The following is a 20,585-nucleotide window of genomic DNA, read 5'->3' on the forward strand; positions in this document are numbered from 1 at the left end:
TTATCACATTGTCTCTAAGAGTCAGCTTTCACTTTAGTAGAATAGCTAAATGGATATATATTGTCATGTATCAATTATCTACCCCCACCTAACAAGTAGAAGGAAGTGTTTTATCCTAGTATAATTTAATTTAGTCACAATCATCAATCATTCCCCCTGGAAACTCACTAAAGAGTGGACAGGAAACTATCCTTGGGACTAGTTCTGCTATTACTGAGTCGAGTACTTGTAAGTGGTTCCTGCACTTTTTTAATCCGGAATTCTCTAACTTACATGATGACAGAATTTCCATAAACATAATTTAACATCTTCTATAGCTCTGAAATCATGTACTGGAATATTAAATACACCCCTCTTTAGTCTGATTCTGGGTAGCAGCTGAATGCAGCAAAGTTGATTGGGTTGGTTGATTTGCTTTAAGTTCAGAATTTGAGTTCATCCCCAAATCAGCAAAGTCAAGTGAAGTGACCAAGGTTTTGGCCCCCGTGGACTTGGACACTGGAGATCAATTAGAGGAGAAAGAGGAATATCTAAGGGTTGGTGACTTAAGGTTCTGTGTGTAAAATATAGCCATTCATCCTTCTGTCTTCCAATGGTGGAACCTGAGAGACTTCAGTGTAAAATGCCTTATTCTGTTCTCACTGAAACAAGGTAAGAGGAAAGGAAGAGACTTTATCTAAACACTGCATATGCAAACAGGATAATATTTCACAAGAGCTGGTGAAGTTGTTTTCTGATTTCACCATAAAGACAATGACTAGCTGTGGGAGCTGTAAGGAATGAATATTATAAAGTGTTACCTGGTGTTTCTTCCTCATGAATTTTGGCAGATAAAGAAGAGATTCTCACTTCAGAAAGAGTTTTGGTTTAATGCAGAGCCTATTGATCAGTGATATAATGTTATTGATAGCCTGATATACTATCAGAACATAGTTTGATGCTTACATGTTTTAAATAATTATATGGAATGTTTGCAGATTATGATGTCACTGTAAAGCTGCTGCTTTTTTTTTTTTTTTTTGAGATGGAGTCTCACTATGTCACCCAGGCTGGAGTGCAGGGTCACGATCTCAGCTCACTGCAACTTCTGCCTCCCAGGTTCAAGTGATTCTTCTGCCTCAGCCTCCCGAGTGGATGGGATCACAGGCGCATGCCACCACGCCTGGCTAATTTTTGTGTTTTTAGTAGAGATGGGGTGTCACCATATTGGTCAGGCTGGTCCCGAACTCCTGACCTCGTGATCCGCCCGCCTTGGCCTCCCAAAGTGCTGGGCTTACAGACCTGAGCCACTGCGCCTGGCCATAAAACTGCTTTTTATACCACTATATAAACTGAAGAACTTCGGGCAAAGTGAGTCATAGTAATATAACTGAATTGAGTTGATTTGGGTCGGCTTTATCCTAGAAAGCTTTTTTGGAAATGTTTTCCTATCATCAGGAAACTCTCTGCTGCACAGGGAATAGACAGTTCCATAACAAATTGAAAAAGAAGGCTGGGCACCCAGGTGGCTCATGCCTGTAATCCCAGCACTTTGGGAGGCCGAGGTGGGCAGATCACGAGGTCAGGAGATCGAGACCATCCTGGCTAACACAGTGAAACCCGGTCTCTACTGAAAATACAAAAATAAAAATTAGCCGGGCGTGGTGGTGGGCGCCTGTAGTCCCAGCTACTGGGGAGGCTGAGGCAGGAGAAGGGCGTGAACCCGGGAGGCGGAGCTTGCAGTGAGCCAAGATCAGGCCACTGCACTCCAGCCTGGGCGACACAGTGAGACTCTGTCTCAAAAAAAAAAAAAATGAAAACCAAGAGTGAACTAAAAATGTAAAAAAAGGTAACATGAACTTGTTAGAGTTGCACTATGTGCAGCTCTCAAACAATGTGACATTAATAAAAACATTTTCTCAGGGCGTGAGGGCTCTCCATGGTTAACACAGGGAATGGGCAAAGGACAGTGACAATTACTAAGGACCTACTATGTGCTGAACACACAGAACTGTGAATTCTCTTTATAGTTGTCCTATACGTTGTTGAGATTGAGGGAGCTGAGTCTATGACTATTTGCTATTGGTCTCCTGCTGATTGTTTAAAAGAGTTTTAAGAAGCATTCACTAATTGTAATTTTGCAAAATAAATTCAGGACCCTACACTTGCTACACTTACATTGTTAGTTTCTGTGAAATGAGGTGTTTTTTAACTCTATAAATTTCAGCAACGTATCTTTTAGAATGAGAAAGAAAATAAACTTTTTATCTGAGGAATAAGTAGCCCCCTTTAAATTATCAGGCCCAGCAAGATTGAAATGTGGCCGCAGTCACATCTCACTCTTTCTTGAGCTAGGTAATCATCTCTTGAATCTACGTGCTATGGGGGCTCTGGACTGACTTGTGGCAACTAACCATGAATTAACCTATCAATCCCCTAAACCACATATCCTATAGTTAAATAATGCATAACCAATCACTGATCAATGTTGTTTCTGAAACCAGTGAGACTTGCTGATAAATAACTTTAGAATTTGTCTCCACTCCTGATTCCTCCCTTTCTTTACCTTAAAAACTTGGGTCTCTTCTTGTTCTCCAGGTTACTTGCCACAGAAGTGTTTCTGGGCTGCAGCCCTCAACCTTGGCCCAAATAAACTTTCTGTATTAATTTTGCCTTAGTGTCGTTCTTTAAGTCAACAAGGATGGCCAAGGCAGTCACTAATCTCACACTCACCTGATAGCCACAGGAACAACATTTTCCCAGCTATAAGGTAACCGACAGAATGATGCTTCATGTAATTCTGGTGCATGAAATAAGGTCCCATGTCTAACAAGGAAAGCTGCTGGACATCAATGGAAATAGATCCTAAACTCAAACTCCAATATCCCATGACCTAAAATCTCCAAGTCCCAGATTCACAGGATCCTAAAAGTAACTATTCTCTTCCATTGCCTAACAACATGCCACTTTTCCATTTTTGGAAACAAAATCATTATTGTAGTAACTGCCATAAAACAATCTTTATAATACTCTGAGCTATAGTCTATGCAACAAAGAATCAAAATGTCTCTCTTCAAAACAACTCCAGGATGGAACACATAAACCTACACCCAAGTCAGCTTGTTCAGGGCTCGGTATTGGATACACCTCATGGGATCATGCTGGCAGCTTTCTTCCCCTGGATTTAAACCTGGATTAAACAAAGGAATTCAGAAAGCACTACAAAAGGCTTTTCCAATTTCCAGGACATGTTGGGCATCCCCTAAGGCCTGGGCACATCAGGACAGTTGGTCGCCCACTTGGGGATGGGACAGCACCTGATGAATCATTCTATCCCCACTGCCTCACTCAGTGACTACTGCATCAAAGGCTGTCAACATGTTAATCTGATAAAATTAATCAAATATTTGCTTGGAACTAAATTACTAGGATAGTTCTTACTGATAGAATGAAGCCACATGAGTTACAAAATCAATCTTTATCATACATACCCTGGAAATTAGAAAAGTCGTTTGGAATACTTTTTGAATTCCTTTGTTTAATCCAATGATCTCTCTGCTTTTTTATTTTTCTATAGAATCGTAATCACTACATAACATCACTGTATGTTTGAGTTTGTTGGTCTATTGTTTGTATAATTATCTCAATTTTAATTACATATTCTAAAATCCTTTGTGTTTCATCACCAAAGCACATCAGTAGCTAGCAGCACTGTCATAAAACATAAATTCAGTGAACACTATTTGAGGAAATGAATGTATCATAATGATGGTTTTCATGTTTTTTTCTGATCAGTTTTTATTTCTAAAGCACTATAAGAAGCAGAGAGTGCCTGTGATCCCATTTGGCATCCAAGTCCAATGCTACTGTGCACCTGTCATGTTCCCAACTTTTCATTGTTAGTGTTTATTCCTTAGACAGCTATAGAAATGAATTTCCATTTTTTTTCCTGTGGCAGGCTCTCTTTCACAATTGTATTCATGCTACCCAAGGTTATATGAACTAACAGTTGAGTTTAAGTTCCTAAATGTGAATAATTGCAACAAACTATGATTTGCTTTTGAACAGCAAAAGTTGAAAAATCAGTAACCCAAGATGACTAACCAAATCAATATGCTGGGCAGGATGAGACATCAGTGTCTGCCTCAGACAGAAGAGCACACACAAAACATGACCTCTCACTCCAAGCCCAGGTAAAGGAAGAAGTCACACAGATGTTAGAAATATAGTTTACGAATACCTGGGAAACTGCATGAAGAAAAAAACAAACTGCCAGATTTGGGGTGGTGTAAAGAGAAAAAGAGAGATTCTAAAAGTCATAAATAAAAATTCCCAAGGAAAAGCCTAGGCATAAAAAGCTAGACAAACTTTCCAGGGAGGGAAAATTATTTATTTTTGTTTGCTTGATTTCTTTATTCTCAATTATTAACATTTAATTGTGTTGTTCTATCTAATTAAATTGGAAGACATGCTTAAGCCATAAATTACAATTGTTCTACTGCTCACACTGGCTTTTCCAGTTGAATAGATTTGTAGCTGCTTGACTCTGCTGTCATCTACAGTAATGAAAATCAAACTATAAGAACAGAAAGTGAATATCCTCTCTAATCTCCATATGCTTCAGATATAGAAATTGATTAAAAAAAACCTGCAGTGTTAGTGGAGAAACAACTCATTCTAAACAAACATTGATAAAGTCAGTTCCTTTTTGTTTTTCTATTGTGTTTTATTTCATGTTTTGTGCTTTGCTTTTGTTTCTATTTCTCTTTCAACAGTTACAGCAGAAAGTTTTCATGGAGAAATGGAATCACACTTCAAATGATTTCATTTTGTTGGGTCTGCTTCCCCCAAATCAAACTGGAATATTTCTCTTGTGCCTTATCATCCTCATATTCTTTCTGGCCTCGGTGGGTAACTCGGCCATGATTCACCTCATCCACGTGGATCCTCGTCTCCACACACCGATGTACTTTCTTCTCAGCCAGCTCTCCCTTATGGACCTGATGTACATCTCCACCACCGTCCCCAAGATGGCGTACAACTTCCTGTCCGGCCAGAAAGGCATCTCCTTCCTGGGATGTGGTGTGCAAAGCTTCTTCTTCCTGACCATGGCGTGTTCTGAAGGCTTACTCCTGACCTCCATGGCCTACGACCGTTATTTGGCCATCTGCCACTCTCTCTATTATCCTATCCGCATGAGTAAAATGATGTGTGTGAAGATGATTGGAGGCTCTTGGACACTGGGGTCCATCAACTCCTTGGCACACACAGTCTTTGCCCTTCATATTCCCTACTGCAGGTCTAGGGCTATTGACCATTTCTTCTGCGATGTCCCAGCCATGTTGCTTCTTGCCTGTACAGATACTTGGGTCTATGAATATATGGTTTTTGTAAGTACAAGCCTCTTTCTCCTTTTCCCTTTCATTGGCATCACTTCTTCCTGTGGCCGAGTCCTATTTGCTGTCTATCATATGCACTCAAAGGAGGGGAGAAAAAAGGCCTTCACCACCATTTCAACACATTTAACTGTAGTGATCTTTTACTATGCACCTTTTGTCTACACCTATCTTCGGCCCAGGAATCTCCGCTCACCAGCTGAAGACAAGATCCTGGCAGTCTTCTACACCATCCTTACCCCCATGCTCAATCCCATTATCTACAGCCTGAGGAATAAGGAAGTCCTGGGGGCTATGAGGAGAGTGTTTGGGATATTCTCTTTCCTGAAAGAATAATCATGGCCATCCCCACTCCCTTTGTATTTCCTCTTTCCAAGTTGATTCCAACACGCTAGAGCAGGGTTGTCCAATAGAAATACAACATAATTTAAAATTTTCTAATAGGTACATTTAAGCAGTCAAATAAATTTAAATAATATATTTAATTCAAAACAATGTTATAATTAATATTAATATTAACAATATTGATGTTAATTACATAGCATACTATTTCAATAAATTATATGCAATATATTATAGTACATGTTTGTACATATATTACTATTAACGTGATAATGTTTATTCTTGTATATTGACATAGAATTTCTTCATGTAATAACACAAATTTGTTAATGTTGCCTTTTACTCTGTTTGCATTCTAAGTCTTCAAAGTCTTGTGTTTGTTTTATAGAGTGCAGCGCAGCTTGGACAAAACACATTTCAAGTGCCCAGTAGTCAGTGTCTATAGTGTTGGACAGCACATTCTTAGAGCATCCCCAATCAATAGTTTCAGAAGTTATATATGCATGTGTATGTGCATGTATGGTGTATACAAACATATTTTTGTTATATACAATATTGCTGATGAACTGAAAATTAACAAGTAAAATGCACATGCTAAGGTAGTGTTTATGTGTTTCTTTATCTGTTGGCTCATTTTTAGCATATGCACATTTATTGTAATTAACATTTGAAGTCCAGTTTATCCTAACTCCTTTAATAAAACTATTCAGGGAGAGCTTATCTGACTTATGATTTTGCTGATTTCATAAAGATACTGAGATAAAATAACTTGAATATGAATATAAAAGAACCCACATTTATGTATACATAAAAATTAATAAAATCTTTATATAAATAACTTTATCAAAGTTGTACTTAAAGAAATTATTTATATAAAGGCACAGAGACAGTGACAGGGTAGAGACAGCATGCAAAATATAAAACGGAAACTGGGACCTCAGGCTTCAGCTTTGATGTGTAAAATATGTATATGACTTTGCACAGGATGAAATCCTATGTTGCTATATGGAAAGTTGTGTTTAACAAAAGTTTTACTATGGTTGTTTTACTAATTCACTTAAGTGACTTCAAGTCTATCAATAGTTGGAGTTATAGAGGGGTTCTGATTTTTGTGGAAAAAAAATTGAGACTTGTATTAATATATCCCTTTTATTTACTGCCCAAATTCAAGCTCCCAATATCTTTTTCTAGTTTCTTACTGCCTTAAGTGTTTTCATCTCTTGAGTCCAGTTCTTACTGAGAATATAGTGTACTCATTGCCATTTGAGTTATTTCCCTAAACATACATTTGATCTTGTCATTCTATAATCTATGATTCCTGTTGGATTATCTAAATTTTGGAACATGAAACTTATATCCCCATGCTTTTAAAGCATGCATTATGTCTCCCTTTACCTGTTTCTATCACTTACACTCAGTACCACAGTCACTCTAGACCTCCTGCCTTTCTCCATAGCCCTCTATTTCCTTGCCCATCTGAACCTTATCACAGACCATGTCTCACTTCTGGAAAGTTCTGATTTACATAGCTTATGACTATCAATCTGAATCCCACATAATCAGTAAACATAACTCAAAATTGACATCCCATCTCTTCTTGTGCACAGCTGATATCTCTTTCCCCCACACTTCTACTCCTGCTTATGATCACATTTTATTAACACTTATTCACATCTATGTCTGTCTTATTTTAAATTGAAGCTCATAGAATATTTTAAAAATTATAATAATTAGGATTATAAGGCTAACAAATATTTACTAATTGTAAATGCTTTTCCCACATACATAACTTAACCTGCACTACAACACTATGATTCCGATATTTATTCCATGTTGAGTGAGCACTTTGAGGCTTGGTGAGGCAAAACAAACAAACAAGAAAAATGTCTTAGGTCAGAGAGCTGGGAAGGGAAGAACACAACTTAGAAGCCAGTTTTCTTTGAATCAGGCTTTGATTCATGTCACCCAGTCTCTGAACAAGACCCTCATCATTTTGGCCTGGAGGTCCCCACAGAATGGAGTGCTATGGCATGCAATGATGGGGACATTTTTTTGTGGTAATTTATTTATGTTTATTGGTATGCAATGCAAGTTTAAGGAACTAGTGTTCATGCCACATTACAGATCCAGGGGAAAATATAAGCAGATAGTAGTTAACAGATCATTACTTAGAATTTCCTTTTACTTCTTCAAATGGGTTGTCGCTCATTCCGGGAGGCAGATTCCTCAGTCTGCGATGTATCTCACTCATTTTTTCCACTAGTATCAGGGTTTTCTCCTTGAATTAAAAAAAATGTATAATTTTTTCTGCTCTGAGTATGACCACTAAAATTAATTTTTGTGGTTTGGTTTTGATTTTTTTTGGAGATTCTACCGTTACTTTGATGTTAAACAATCACCAATGCAGTAAATCCTTATTTAGTATAAAGTATAATATGTCCTAGTATATTCTGCAGAAATTAAACACATTGATCAATCTTTGTACAAAAACAACAAACCACAGTTGTGAAAGGAAAACAGCAAGCTAAAAAAAATAGCCTCCAGATTTTCTGCAAGACAAGGCATTTGGAAAAATTTCTCCAAGCAAAAGTAATTGGAAGGCTGCTGAAGTTCATTCACCTTAATTAACAAGAACCATATCATATAGGAAGGGTTCAATGCATACCTTATTAATTAATTTAAGGTATGTATTAATTAATTAAAACTAATTTAATTTTAATTAATTTAATTAAATAATAAATAAAATAATTATTAATAATTTAATTAAATAATAAATAAAATAATTATTAATAATTTAATTAAATAATAAATAAATTAATTATTAATTAATTTAATTAAATAATAAATAAATTAATTATTAATTAATTTAAGGGATGTATCAAACCCTTCCTATGTGATATGGTTCTTGTTACATCAGGTAAAATGATGGACAAGCAGGTATAGTCTTTTACCCTGTGGAGCCCCCATGCTGGTGTGAGCCATAAAAACATTAGTACACACTATCTGGTCAGGCTGGGCAGTGATGAATTCAGGCAGAAAAGTAGCAAATGATTTATCACATGGAGTCATCAGGCCCCTCTGACATGATGAAGGGGCTGGCCATGTAAACCTGAAGGATAAAACCCACAAAGCCCTCCAATGACTGAGACAGGAGCGCAGCAGAAGGCAGTGAGCAGAGAGGAGTAGGAGAATAGATCAGAGCCTTCTCAGGGCCAGGTGAAGGCAAATAATCTGGACTTTATTCTAAATGTAGCAGAAGCCTTGCAGGGAAATATTTTCTCAAATACTAACATCCAGAGCTGCTTGGCGAGTCGGTTGGTGTGAACTCTGGGAAAATATCTGAACACGTGGCAAAATGGGCCATATAACAGCCAATACTTCCAAAGAGAAACTCTGAGCTTTTAAAGGAGTCATTTGTTTTATTTCAAGGTTTAGTTTGATTCTTGGAGAGATATTAAACCTTAGGTGGCTCTAAAGACCCATTATTATTTACATCTCTCATTGTTCTCTTGGCATATTTTTCTATGGCATAGGAGGATAACTAGAGTTAATGTATTACATATTTCAAAATAGCTAGAAGAGAGGTTTTTGAATGTTATCATCACAAAGAAATGATGAATGTTTAAGGTGATGAATATGCTAATCATCCTGGTTTGAGCATTACATAGTGTATACAAGCATCAAAACACCACATTGTACTCCACAAATATGTATGAATAACATTTTAAAGTGAATAAATAAAATAAGCTGTTCCTGTCATGAGGCCAAATACTACACTTTTATGTTATTGTTCTTTCTTGATTCCTCTTCCAATTCCAAGAACAGATCAGTGACATAATCACAGAGGGAAACAGGAATGGGATCTTATCTTGACACATCTTCATGAAGTGTCCAATGACATTGAGGTTTTGATTTCTTTCAACTGAAAGATCCTAGCCCAAGACAGAAAAATGAAGTTGAAAAATTATATTCTGCTACTTCTCCCAGACCAAAACCTATCACAAGAAATCTTTTTAATTTTATTTTGAATTAACAAATAATATTGTATGTGTTCATGGAATACAATATGATGTTTTAGATATGTTGATAATGTAAAATGATTAAATCAGGCTAATTAACAAACCCAACACTTCATATACTTATTTTCTTGCATGGTGAAAACTTTTAAAATCAACTTTAAGCAATTGTGCAATATATAACACACTATTATTTATTATAGGCTTCGTTCTGTACAATAGATCAGTAATAATTATTCCTCCTGTCTAACTAAAACTTTCTATGCTTTGATCAACATCCTTTTCCCACCCATTCTTATCCCCATACCTCTGGTAACCATCATTCTACTCTCTACTTCTATGAGTTGAACTTTTCTAGATTCCACATGTAGGTGAGATCACTTAGTATTTGTCTTTTTTGAGCCTAGCTTACTGACTTAGTGTTATGCTGTTCGGGTTGATCCATGCTGTCAAAAATGAAAATATTCCCCCATTTTTGAGGGCTGAATAGCATCCCATTGTGAATACATACTACATTTTCTTTATCCATTAATCTGAAGATGGATACCTACGTTCCTTTATAAATTTGTTTTGTCCAAATTCCCCTTTCGTTTTTTTTTTTCTATTTTAAGTTCTGGGATACATGTGCAGAACCTGCAGGTTTGTTACATATGTATACATGTGCCATGGTGGTTTGCTGCACCCATTAACCCATTGTCCAGGTTTTAAGCCTCGCATGTATTAGGTACTTCTCCTAATACTATCCCTCCCCTTGCCACCACTCCCTGGCAGATGCTGGTGTATGATGTTCCCCTCCCTGGGTCCATGTGTTCACATTGTTCAACTCCCACTTGAGTGAGAACATGTGGTGTTTGGTTTTCTATTCCAGTGTTACTTTGCTGAGGATAATGTCTTTCAGCTTCATCCATGTCCCTGAAAAAGACATTAACTCATTCTTTTTAATGGTTGCATAGTATTCCATGATATATATGTGCCACATGTTCTTTATCCAGTCTGTTGGGGCGATCAGACCCAACACCAGGCTGTGGGGGCTATGAAGTCCGGAGGAGTCAAAGGAATGAGACAAGACAAGTTAAGAGCACATAAAGTGGGACCACGGGGCCAACGCTAGTTTGAAGGCTGTGAAGACCCAGGCTCTGAAAGCCCGCACTATTTATAGGTGATCAAACAAAGAAGCAGGTGGTGAGGATGTGGGGGTTGAAAGAAAGTGGTGTATCAAGTGCATGATCTACAACTGTGACGGTTTAGCATTTTCTTTGCAGCATATGGAACATGTTCTGCTACTTGAGATAATGGGAAAAATGTTCTTCTCGTTGCAGATACAATTGATCTCTGAACCTGGGAATGCTAGAAGCAAGGAGCCAGTAAGTCTAGACACATTCCAGAGGCCACGAGGGGTTTTATGCCCTGAGCTATGGATTCCATCCAAGCCATGAGGGGTTTTATGCCCTGGGCTTAGATTGTGGTGCAGCAGGCCAGCCTTCCACCCTTTGGCACAGAGTTTGGTGTACCAAAGGCCATGAGGGGTTTTAGACCCCGGACCCCGGACATGTTCCAAGACTCTTTTACACTATGTCAGACATGCAAGCCCTGCCTCAGCTTTTTTCCCAACACTCAGCTTTTCCCCAACACAGTCTATCACTGATGGGCATTTGGGTTGGTTCCAAGTCTTTCCTATTGTAAATAGTGCTGCAATAAGCATACGTGTGCATGTGTCTTTATAACAGAATGATTTATAATCCTTTGGGTGTATATCCAGGAATGGGATTGCCGGATCAAATGGTATTTCTGGTTCTAAATCCATGAGGAATCACCACACTGTCTTCCACAATGGCTGAATTAATTTAAATTCCCACCAACAGTGAAAAAGTGTTTCTATTTCTCCATATCATCTCCAGCATCTGTTGTTTCCTGACTTCTTAATGATTGCCATTCTAACTGGTGTGAGATGGTAGCTCCTTGTGGTTTTGATTTGCATTTCTCTAGTGACCAATGATGATGAGCTTTTTTTTATATGTTTTTTGGCTGCATAAATGTCTTATTTTGAGAAGTGTCTGTGCATATCCTTTGCCCACTTTTTGATGGGCTCTTTTTTTTTCTTGTAAATTTGTTTAAGTTCATTGTAGATTCTGGATATTAGCCCTTTGTCAGGTGGATAGATTGCAAAACTTTCCTCCCATTCTGTAGGTTGTCTGTTCACTCTGATGTCAGTGTCTTTTGCTGTGCAGAAACTCTTTAGTTTAGTTAGATCCCATTTGTCAATTTTGGCTTTTGTTGTTATTGCTTTTGGTGTTTTAGTCATGAAGCCTTGCCAATGCCTATGTCCTGAATGGTATTGCCTACGTTTTCTTCTAGGGTTTTTATGGTTTTGGGTCTTATATTTCACTCATTAATTCATCTTGGGTTAATTTTTTTGTAAAGAGTAGGGAAGGGGTCCAGTTTCAGTTTTCTGCATATGGCTAGACTGTTTTCCCAACACCATTTATTAAATAGAGAATCCTTTCCCCATTGCTTGTTTTGTCTGGTTTGTAAAAGATCAGATGGTTGTAGATATGTGGTGTTGTTTCTGAGGCCTCTGTTCTGTTCCATTGGTCTATATATCTGTTTTGGTACCAGCACCATGCTGTTTCAGTTACTGTAGCCTTGTTGTATAGTTTGAAGTCAGGTAGCATGATGCTCCAGCTTTGTTCTTTTTGATTGGGATTGTCTTGGCTATACGGGCTCTTTTTTGGTGCCATGTGAAATTTAAAGTAGTTTTTTTCTAATTCTATGAAGAAAGTCAAAGGTAGCTTAATGGGAATAGCATTGAATCTATACATTGCTTTGAGCAGTATGGCCATTTTCATGATATTGATTCTTCCTATCTATGAACATGGAATGTTTTTCCATTTGTTTGTGTTCTCTCTTATTCCTTGAACAGTGGTTTGTAGTTCTCCTTGAAGAGGTCCTTCACATTCCTTGTAAGTTGGATTCCTAGGTACTTTATTCTCTTTGTAGCAATTGTGAATGGCAGTTCACTCATGATTTGGCTCTGTTTGTCTATTATTGGTGTATAGGAATGCTTGTGATTTTTGCACATTGACTTTGTATCCTGAAACTTTGCTGAAGTTGATTATCACCCTAAGGAGTTTTTGGGTGAGATGATGGGGTTTTCTAAATATACAATCATGTCATTTTCAAACAGAGACAGTTTGACTTCCTCTCTTCCTATTTGAATACGCTTTCTTCCTTTCTCTTGCCTAATTGCCCTGACCAGAACCTTCAAGACTATGTTGAATAGGAGTGGTGAGAGAGGGCATCCTTTTCTTGTGCCTGTTTTCAAAGGGAATACTTCCAGCATTTGCCCATTCAGTATGATATTGGCCATGGATTTGTCATAAATAGCTCTTATTATTTTGAGAAATGTTGCAACAATACCTAGCTTATTGAATGTTTTTAGCATGAAGGGGTGTTGAACTTTCTGCATCCATTGAGATAATTATCTGGTTTTTGTCACTGGTTCTGTTTATATGATAGATTATGATTAATGATTGTTGTATGTTGAACCAGTCTTGCATCTCAGGATGAAGCCGACTTGATTGTGTTGGATACGCTTTTTGATGTGCTGCTGGATTTGATTTGCCAGTATTTTACTGTGAATTTTCACATTGAGATTTATCAGGGATATTGGCATGAAAATTTTTTTTGTTGTTGTGTCTCTGCCAGGTTTTGGTATCAGGATGATGCTGACCCCATAAAATGAGTTAGGAATGAGTCCCTCTTTTTCTATTGTTTGGGTTAGTTTCAGAAGGAATGGTACCAGATCCTCTTTGTACCTCTGGTAGAATTCGGTTTTGAATCCGTCTGGTCCTGGGCTTTATTATTATTATTATTATTTGGTTGGTAGGCTATTAATTACTGCCTCAATCAGGACTTGTTGTTGGTGTATTCAGAAACTCATCTTCTTCCTGGTTTAGTCTTGGGAGGGTGTATGTGTCCAGGAATTTATCCATTTCTTCTAGGTTTTCTAGTTTATTTGCATAGAGGTATTTATAGTATTCTCTGATGGCAATTTGTATTTCTGTGGGATCAGAGGTGATATCCCCTTTATCATTTTTTATTGTGTCTGTTTGATTCTTCTCTCTTTTCTTCTGTATTAGTCCGGCTAGTGCTCTATTTTGTTAATCTCCTCAAAAAAACGGCTTCTGTGTTTATTGATTTTTGAAGGGTTTTTCATGTCTCCATCTCCTTCAGTTCTGCTCTGATCTTAGTTATTTCCTGTCTTCTGCTAGATTTTGAATTTGTTTGCACTTGCTTCTCTAGTTCTTTTAATTGTGATGTTAGTGTGTGAATTTTAGATGTTTCTCAGTTTCTGATGTGGGCACTTAGTGCTATAAATTTCCCTCTAAACACTGCTTCAGCTATATCCCAGAGATTCTGGTACATTGTGTCTTTGTTCTCATTGACTTCAAAGAATGTATATATTTCTGCCTTAATTTTGTTCCTTTATTTCTTAACTAATGTAAATAACACTGCAATGAATATAGGAATGCAGATATCTCTTCAACGTACTGATTTCGATTCCTTTGGTTATAGAGATTGTATGGTACTACTGTTTCCAATTTTCTGAGGAATTGCCATATGGTTTAGCTTACTTCACAACCAAGAGTGCACAAGGGTCTTTTTTACTCCACCCCTTCATCAACACTTGTTATATTGTATGTTTTTGATAATACCCATTATTACAATTGTGAGACAATATCTCATTGTGGTTTTATGTTTTCCTGATGATCAGTGATGAGAAGCATTTTCTCATATATCTGATGGTCATTTGTATGTCTTCTTTTGAGAAGTGTCTATTTAAGTACTTTGCCTATTTTTTGATTGGGTTATTTGTTTACTTGCTTTTGAGTTGTTTGAGTTTCTTATATATTTTGGATAATAAACCCCTAAAAAAGTGTAGTTTGCATTTTCTCCCAACCTGTGGGATGTCTCTTCACTATATTGTGTCTTTGCTATGTGAAGCTTTTTAGTTTGAAACAATTCTTTTTTTTCTTTTTTTGCTTTGTCACCTGTGCTTTAGGTGCCATATGCAAGAAATCGTTGTCCAAACCAATGCTGTGGAGCAGCTCCCCTATGTATGTTTTCTTCTAGAGGTTTTACAGTTTCAGGTCTTACACTCAAGTTTTAAATCCATATTGAGTTGATTTTTGTATATGGTATGAAATAAGGATCCAATTCTATATTTCTGCACATGGATATATAATTTTCCCAACAACATTTGTTGAAGACAGTGTTCTTTTTCCATTGTGTTTTTGGCACCTTTGTCAAAAATCAAGTGTTCACAAGTGTGTGGGTTTTTACAATACATTATAACATACATGTCAGACTTTTATAATAGGTCTTGGGCCGAAGTGGCCATTATTCTCTGAATGAGATGTCCACTCATTCAAAGCACATAGAAATGGGCCCATTCAGCATAATTATTCCTCACATAAGGTTTAGCAAAGAGTGTTCTAGCTCCCTGAAGAATTATTGATTTTCACAGCCATATCTCACACATTCTGTTTGCTAAGATTTTTGTTTTATTGTCACCTTTTTGAAGAGATATTCTTAGGCTAACTACTTAAAGAAGCAATCACTCCTCAAACTCTTATTCTATAACTTTCTTAACTGCATTAATTTTCCACAAGGCACATTTATCTCTCCAAATCACAGTATTTGTTAATCCACTTTATTGTCTATTTTTACCATAACATTTATTCATAGCTTATTTCATCAGTGCTTGCATCTGGCAAATAGTACAAACTTAATAAAACTGTTAATGAATCACATCATTCTGATCTAAGTAATTAACTAATGAATGGGCATATAGCCCATTTGGCTAATAGCTATAATCATCAGGGTTTCTGACATTGGGAAACACATATGGTGACTTCCAGGTTGCTGAGAAGGGAAAAACATAAGCAAGAGCTTTTCTAATAATTAAGCTGAAAAGAGATAATCAGAGTCAAGACACACATATATTTATGTACATGAAGCAAAGATTTAGGCAGAGCACCATGCGTCACATCTGTTATCCCAGCAATTTGGGAGGCAAAGGTGGGTGGATCACTTGGGTCCAGGAGTCTGAGACCAGCCTGGGAAACCTGGCAAGACATGGTATGTCTCTTCTCACACTGCTATAAAGAACTTTCCTGAGACTGGGTAATTTATAAAGGAAGAAGATTTAATTGACTCACAGTTCCTTATGCCAACAGAAGGAGAAGGGGAAGCAAGCACCTTCTTTACGAAGCAGCAGGAGAGAGAGGGTGAAGGGGAAAGAGACCATTATAAAACCAACAGACCTCATGAGAACTCACTATCATGAGAGCAACATGGGGGAAACTGCCCTATGATCCAATTACTTCCCGTTAGATCTCTCCCTCAACACCTGGGGATTACAATTTGAGATGAGATTTGGGTGGGGACAGAAAGCCAAGCCATATAAAATGGTCTCTAAAAAACAAACAAAAAAAAGAATAGCCACGCATGGTGGCACACGCCCATAGTCCCAACTACTCAGGAGGCGGAGATTAGAGGATCAGCTGAGCTTGGGAGGTTGAAGCTGCAATGAACCATGTTGGATACAGTGAGTTCCTCTTCAAAGGTTCCGCTTGTTCAACTCCCTTTCTTTGTCCTCTATTTTCAAAGCCTAACTTCCTTGCCTGCTTGACCCTAGTTACGGTAAACAACATTCTAGCCATTCCCAATCTGTAATCCACTTCCATTCCCAATCTTTAACCCGTATCTATTCCCAATCTGTAACAACCCACATCTGTTCCTTATTTTGCACCCTTAGTTCTGAAACTGCCCTTCCCGCTGCTGTAGCTCCGCCCCCTGCTCCATAGGAAGTAGCCAATTGGGATCAGCTTAGATTGTGCTGTCTGACTGCAGCCAATGGGGACTGGACACAGTAGCAGGGACTGACTGCATTAGGAATAAAAACCCCGTCCCTCCTTTTTTCTGTGTGCTCTTATAGTGACCAGAAGAGCAAGCAGTACCCTTCTGCAGAAGTAAATTTGCCTTGCTGAGAAATCCTTTATTTGAGTGCTCATTTTCTTTGCACCTCTGAGCTCTTCTTTCCAACAATTTGGGGGCTCGTCTTGGATTCCTATTCTCCTCTGGGAAAGGGTTTCTGATCCCCTCTCATGAAAAGATGCGTCCCACTGTCTTGTTGTAATGGCCTCAGGGTAAGGGATCGGGACTCACTCAGTGTGATGAATAATCCCGGACTCTCAGCAATGCGGGCATAAAGTATCTTTACACACCATGGTGACCATGTAACTCTGTGCACAGATCAAGGTAAGAAACGTCGCGGGGGTGACAAAGTAATAAATATGGATAATATATCTATTTTATATATTATATATATAAAGAAATAGATAATTTTGGACTTGCAAATATTCTAGTCAGAATATCACAGGGCAAACCCCAAAATTGGAGCTCAGCTCGGGAGGCCACATGGTTCCTTGCCTTCATGGAGGAAAGAATTCAAGAGCAAGCCAGCAGAGTAAAGTGAAATCAAGTTTATTGAAAAATAAAGGAATAAAAGGGTGGCTACCCCACAGGCAGAGTAGCAGCATGAGTTTATCACATAGATGTGGTTATTATTTTTTGATTATATGCTAAACAGGGAGTGAATTATTCGTGAGTATTCTGGGATGGTGTGGGGACTTCTAGGAACTGAGGGGTCTTCACCGTTTCAGATGATATAGGGTAACTTCTGGACATTGTCATGGCCTTTTTAAACTGTCATGGGGCTGGTGAGAGTTTCCTTTGGTATGCTAATGTATTCTAATTATAATGAGCATTGAGGACCACCGGAGGTTGCTTTTATTGCCATGTTGGTTTTAGAAGGTTGTGGCCAGCTTATTTACCACATCCTGTTTTATCAGTGCAGTCTATGTTACTTGTATCTTGTGAAACAAGTCCTGCTGAATTCTTATGTCAGGAATATTCAAGGGCATTTCGAAAAATATACGTGCTTGGATTGCAACTCCAGATTTCAGATTTTTAGCATAACTGAGATATGCCTTTTTCTTATGTCTATGTTTTAGTTAATTTTTGCATAGTTATAAGTACTTAATATATGGCAATAGCATTAGCATAAAATTAGAAAAACATTTATAATGTGGGATGATTTTATTTCCAACCCCCATTCTTCAAATATGTACTCTGTCCTCTCTCTAGTATAAAGGAGTTTTCAGTTCATTGTGTATCATTCCACAGATAGGTACATATATGACCATATATTATTTTTATTAATTGCTATACTGCATCTTACTTTTAAAAATGTTGTATGGTGAAATGTAAAACACATACACACACAAAGCCATAGGCAAGATAACCACGAGGAAACAAGGTATTATGAATTGAACACCTGTGTAACCACTTGCCAGTTCAAGATACAGAACAATGTCAGCACTCTCAGAAGCCCTTTGCATTCTCATTTCCAAACAAAAAGTCCTCCTTCCACATATATGTAATTACTAAAATATCTAGTAGTAATATTGTTCATACTTTCATTTATTTTTAAGTTCTAAAGAAATCTGTAAGCTTCATACATTAATTTTAATCTGCTTATTCTACTGAGTTTGGTCTCTGGTGAGTTTTACATTAATGGGACACATTTGTGTCTCTCTTTCATTTTTATTGTAATAAAAACATTTCATGTTATCTTCTCATTGCAATACATTTAGCCATTTCAGGGTTGATGGGTACCTATTTGGATTCTATCACATCTGATGCTGTAACACAGATTGCTGTAGAAATCTTCTGGTTGTTCTGTGCAGAGCTCTAATTGATTGTATACCCAGGAACTGCTGGGTTACAGCACTAGTAAATTTCCAAATTTAATAGAAAATACCACACTAATTCCAAACAGTATGAAATTTGCACTCTATAGGAAGACATTGGAAGTCATAATAATCAAATTTATCATCCACAAAATTTTTGTGTGTATTTCTTTTATTTTTAAAGTTTCATAATTCAGATACATGTAGTAATGTTGAATAGTGCTATTACTTTTCATCTCTCTAGTTTTTACAGTAAGGTTTAATACTCTGTTTTATATTAACATATCATCATTCATTAATCCATTCTACTCTAGGAATTTTCAGTTTCTGACTATATTGAATAATGCTGCTATGAATTTTCTTTTATATGTCTTTGGTACATGTGCTTAAACTTTCTCTTTTTGATAAGTTTATACATATATGTATACATATGTATATGTATACCTGTATACTTACATAAGCATATATGTTACATATAAGCATATATAATATATAATATATAGAAGTATATATTTATATATACTTAAGTATATACAGAAGTTATATATATATTTTATATATGATATACATAAGTATATACACATAAAAAGGTTAGTAGATAAGTATATTTAACATATATAAGTATATTTAAAAGATATATACTTATATATCATTCATATATACTTAAATAAGTGTACATAAATATATGTTCACATATATTTATATTATACGTAAGTATATTTAAGTATTATATATGTACATATATGTACATAATTCATATAATTTAAATTACTTAGTGTGTGTAGATATATAATTGATCTATCCATTAGGTAATTCTTCCAAAAATTTATACAAATTTGCATCTCAGTAATAATATGTGAGAATGTGTTTGCCATTTTGTACCAAAAAACACATTGTGCCCTAAAACATTTTGATAGTTTGCAAACATATAACTGAATATTTATTTCTAAGTGCCATTTACATTTTCATAAATGAGACAACATCTTTTTCTATTTTTTAGAGCTATTTGTGTTTTATTTTCTGGGAAATGTTACCTATTTTACCATAGAGTTATTGGTATATATATATATATATATAGATGTTTGGAACCCTTTATATTTCCAGTATAAATCTGTGTCTGTGTCTGTGCAATATAATTCAACATTGTTTTAAGTTTTATGTGTCTTTTGTTTTTCTTTATAATGATCACTACAATCAAGAATTGTTTTAAAATAGTCACATTTATAAATAAATCTTTTTTCAGTGATAGATTTTGTATCATATTTTTAAAGGTTTTTGAGCTCCAGGGTTTTTAATTTTTTTCTGATTTTTTTGAAAAGGTCTTTTTATTAACAAGTCTAATGCCTATTTGGAGTTTATTTTCTTATAAAAATGTAAGCATTAACTTCATTTTGGTTGTTGTTACTGGTTAACTGGTTGTCCCAACATGGTTAACTGAACAAGTTCTCTTCTCTAGCAGTTTCAAATGCTAGTAAACGGTATATAATTTTAATTTTTATTACTTTATAATATATTTTAATATATTAGTTTTTCAATTCAGTAATAGTCTAACTTTTTTTTGCAGGACTTTTCTGACAATTTTTTCATGTTAATTATGCATGTGATGAACTTTAGAAACAGCTTGACTACTTCTTGAAGTTATATATTCATATATTATTGTAATCAGATTAAATTTTTAAACTAATTTTAATTTTAAAATCAAATTTATTCATATGCGCTATGTTAATACATACAATTGAAGAAAAAATTATGCATCATTAAATACCACACATATCCACGCAGTCAGTCCCTGTTACTGTGTGTGGTCCCCATTGGCTGGAGTCGGACAGCACAATCTAAGCTGATCCCGATTGGCTACTTCAAATGGAGCAGGGGTCTGGGCTACAGCAGTTGCAGGAAGAGCAGTTTCCGAACTAAGGGTGCCAAATAAGGAACAGATGTGGGTTGTTACAGATTGGGAATGGATGTGGGTTACAGATTGAGAACAGATGTGTGTTACAGATTGGGAACGGCTGGAAGGTTGTTTACCGTAACTA

General features: G+C 36.5%; 1 protein-coding gene and 1 long non-coding RNA gene across 6 annotated transcripts in view; one reads left to right on the top strand and one right to left on the bottom strand.

Annotated features, from left to right (window-relative positions):
* Nucleotides 1–939, bottom strand: part of LOC105373275 (uncharacterized) — a 47,838-nt gene extending 46,899 nt beyond the window's left edge. For both annotated transcript variants that reach the window (XR_949369.3, XR_949368.3), the window contains exon 1: nt 801–939. This is a non-coding gene — a long non-coding RNA (uncharacterized LOC105373275). The remainder of the gene's footprint in view (nt 1–800) is intronic.
* Nucleotides 1–6,560, top strand: part of OR2L13 (olfactory receptor family 2 subfamily L member 13) — a 163,987-nt gene extending 157,427 nt beyond the window's left edge. Inside the window, exons 1-3 of one of the 4 annotated variants that reach the window (NM_001395936.1) lie at nt 581–651; nt 4,048–4,172; nt 4,755–6,560. In NM_001395936.1, coding sequence (NP_001382865.1) covers nt 4,773–5,711 — 939 coding nt within the window. In that variant the 5' untranslated portion in view covers nt 581–651; nt 4,048–4,172; nt 4,755–4,772 and the 3' untranslated portion in view covers nt 5,712–6,560. Of the gene's footprint in view, nt 1–580; nt 652–1,250; nt 1,351–4,047; nt 4,173–4,754 lie in introns of those variants that run through there. The other 3 variants (XM_011544169.3, NM_175911.5, NM_001304535.3) reach the window with 3 other exon arrangements.
* Nucleotides 6,561–20,585: the final 14,025 nt, after the last annotated feature.

This window comes from Homo sapiens, chromosome 1, assembly GCF_000001405.40.
Source record: "Homo sapiens chromosome 1, GRCh38.p14 Primary Assembly".
NCBI classification, from domain to species: Eukaryota; Metazoa; Chordata; class Mammalia; order Primates; family Hominidae; genus Homo; species Homo sapiens.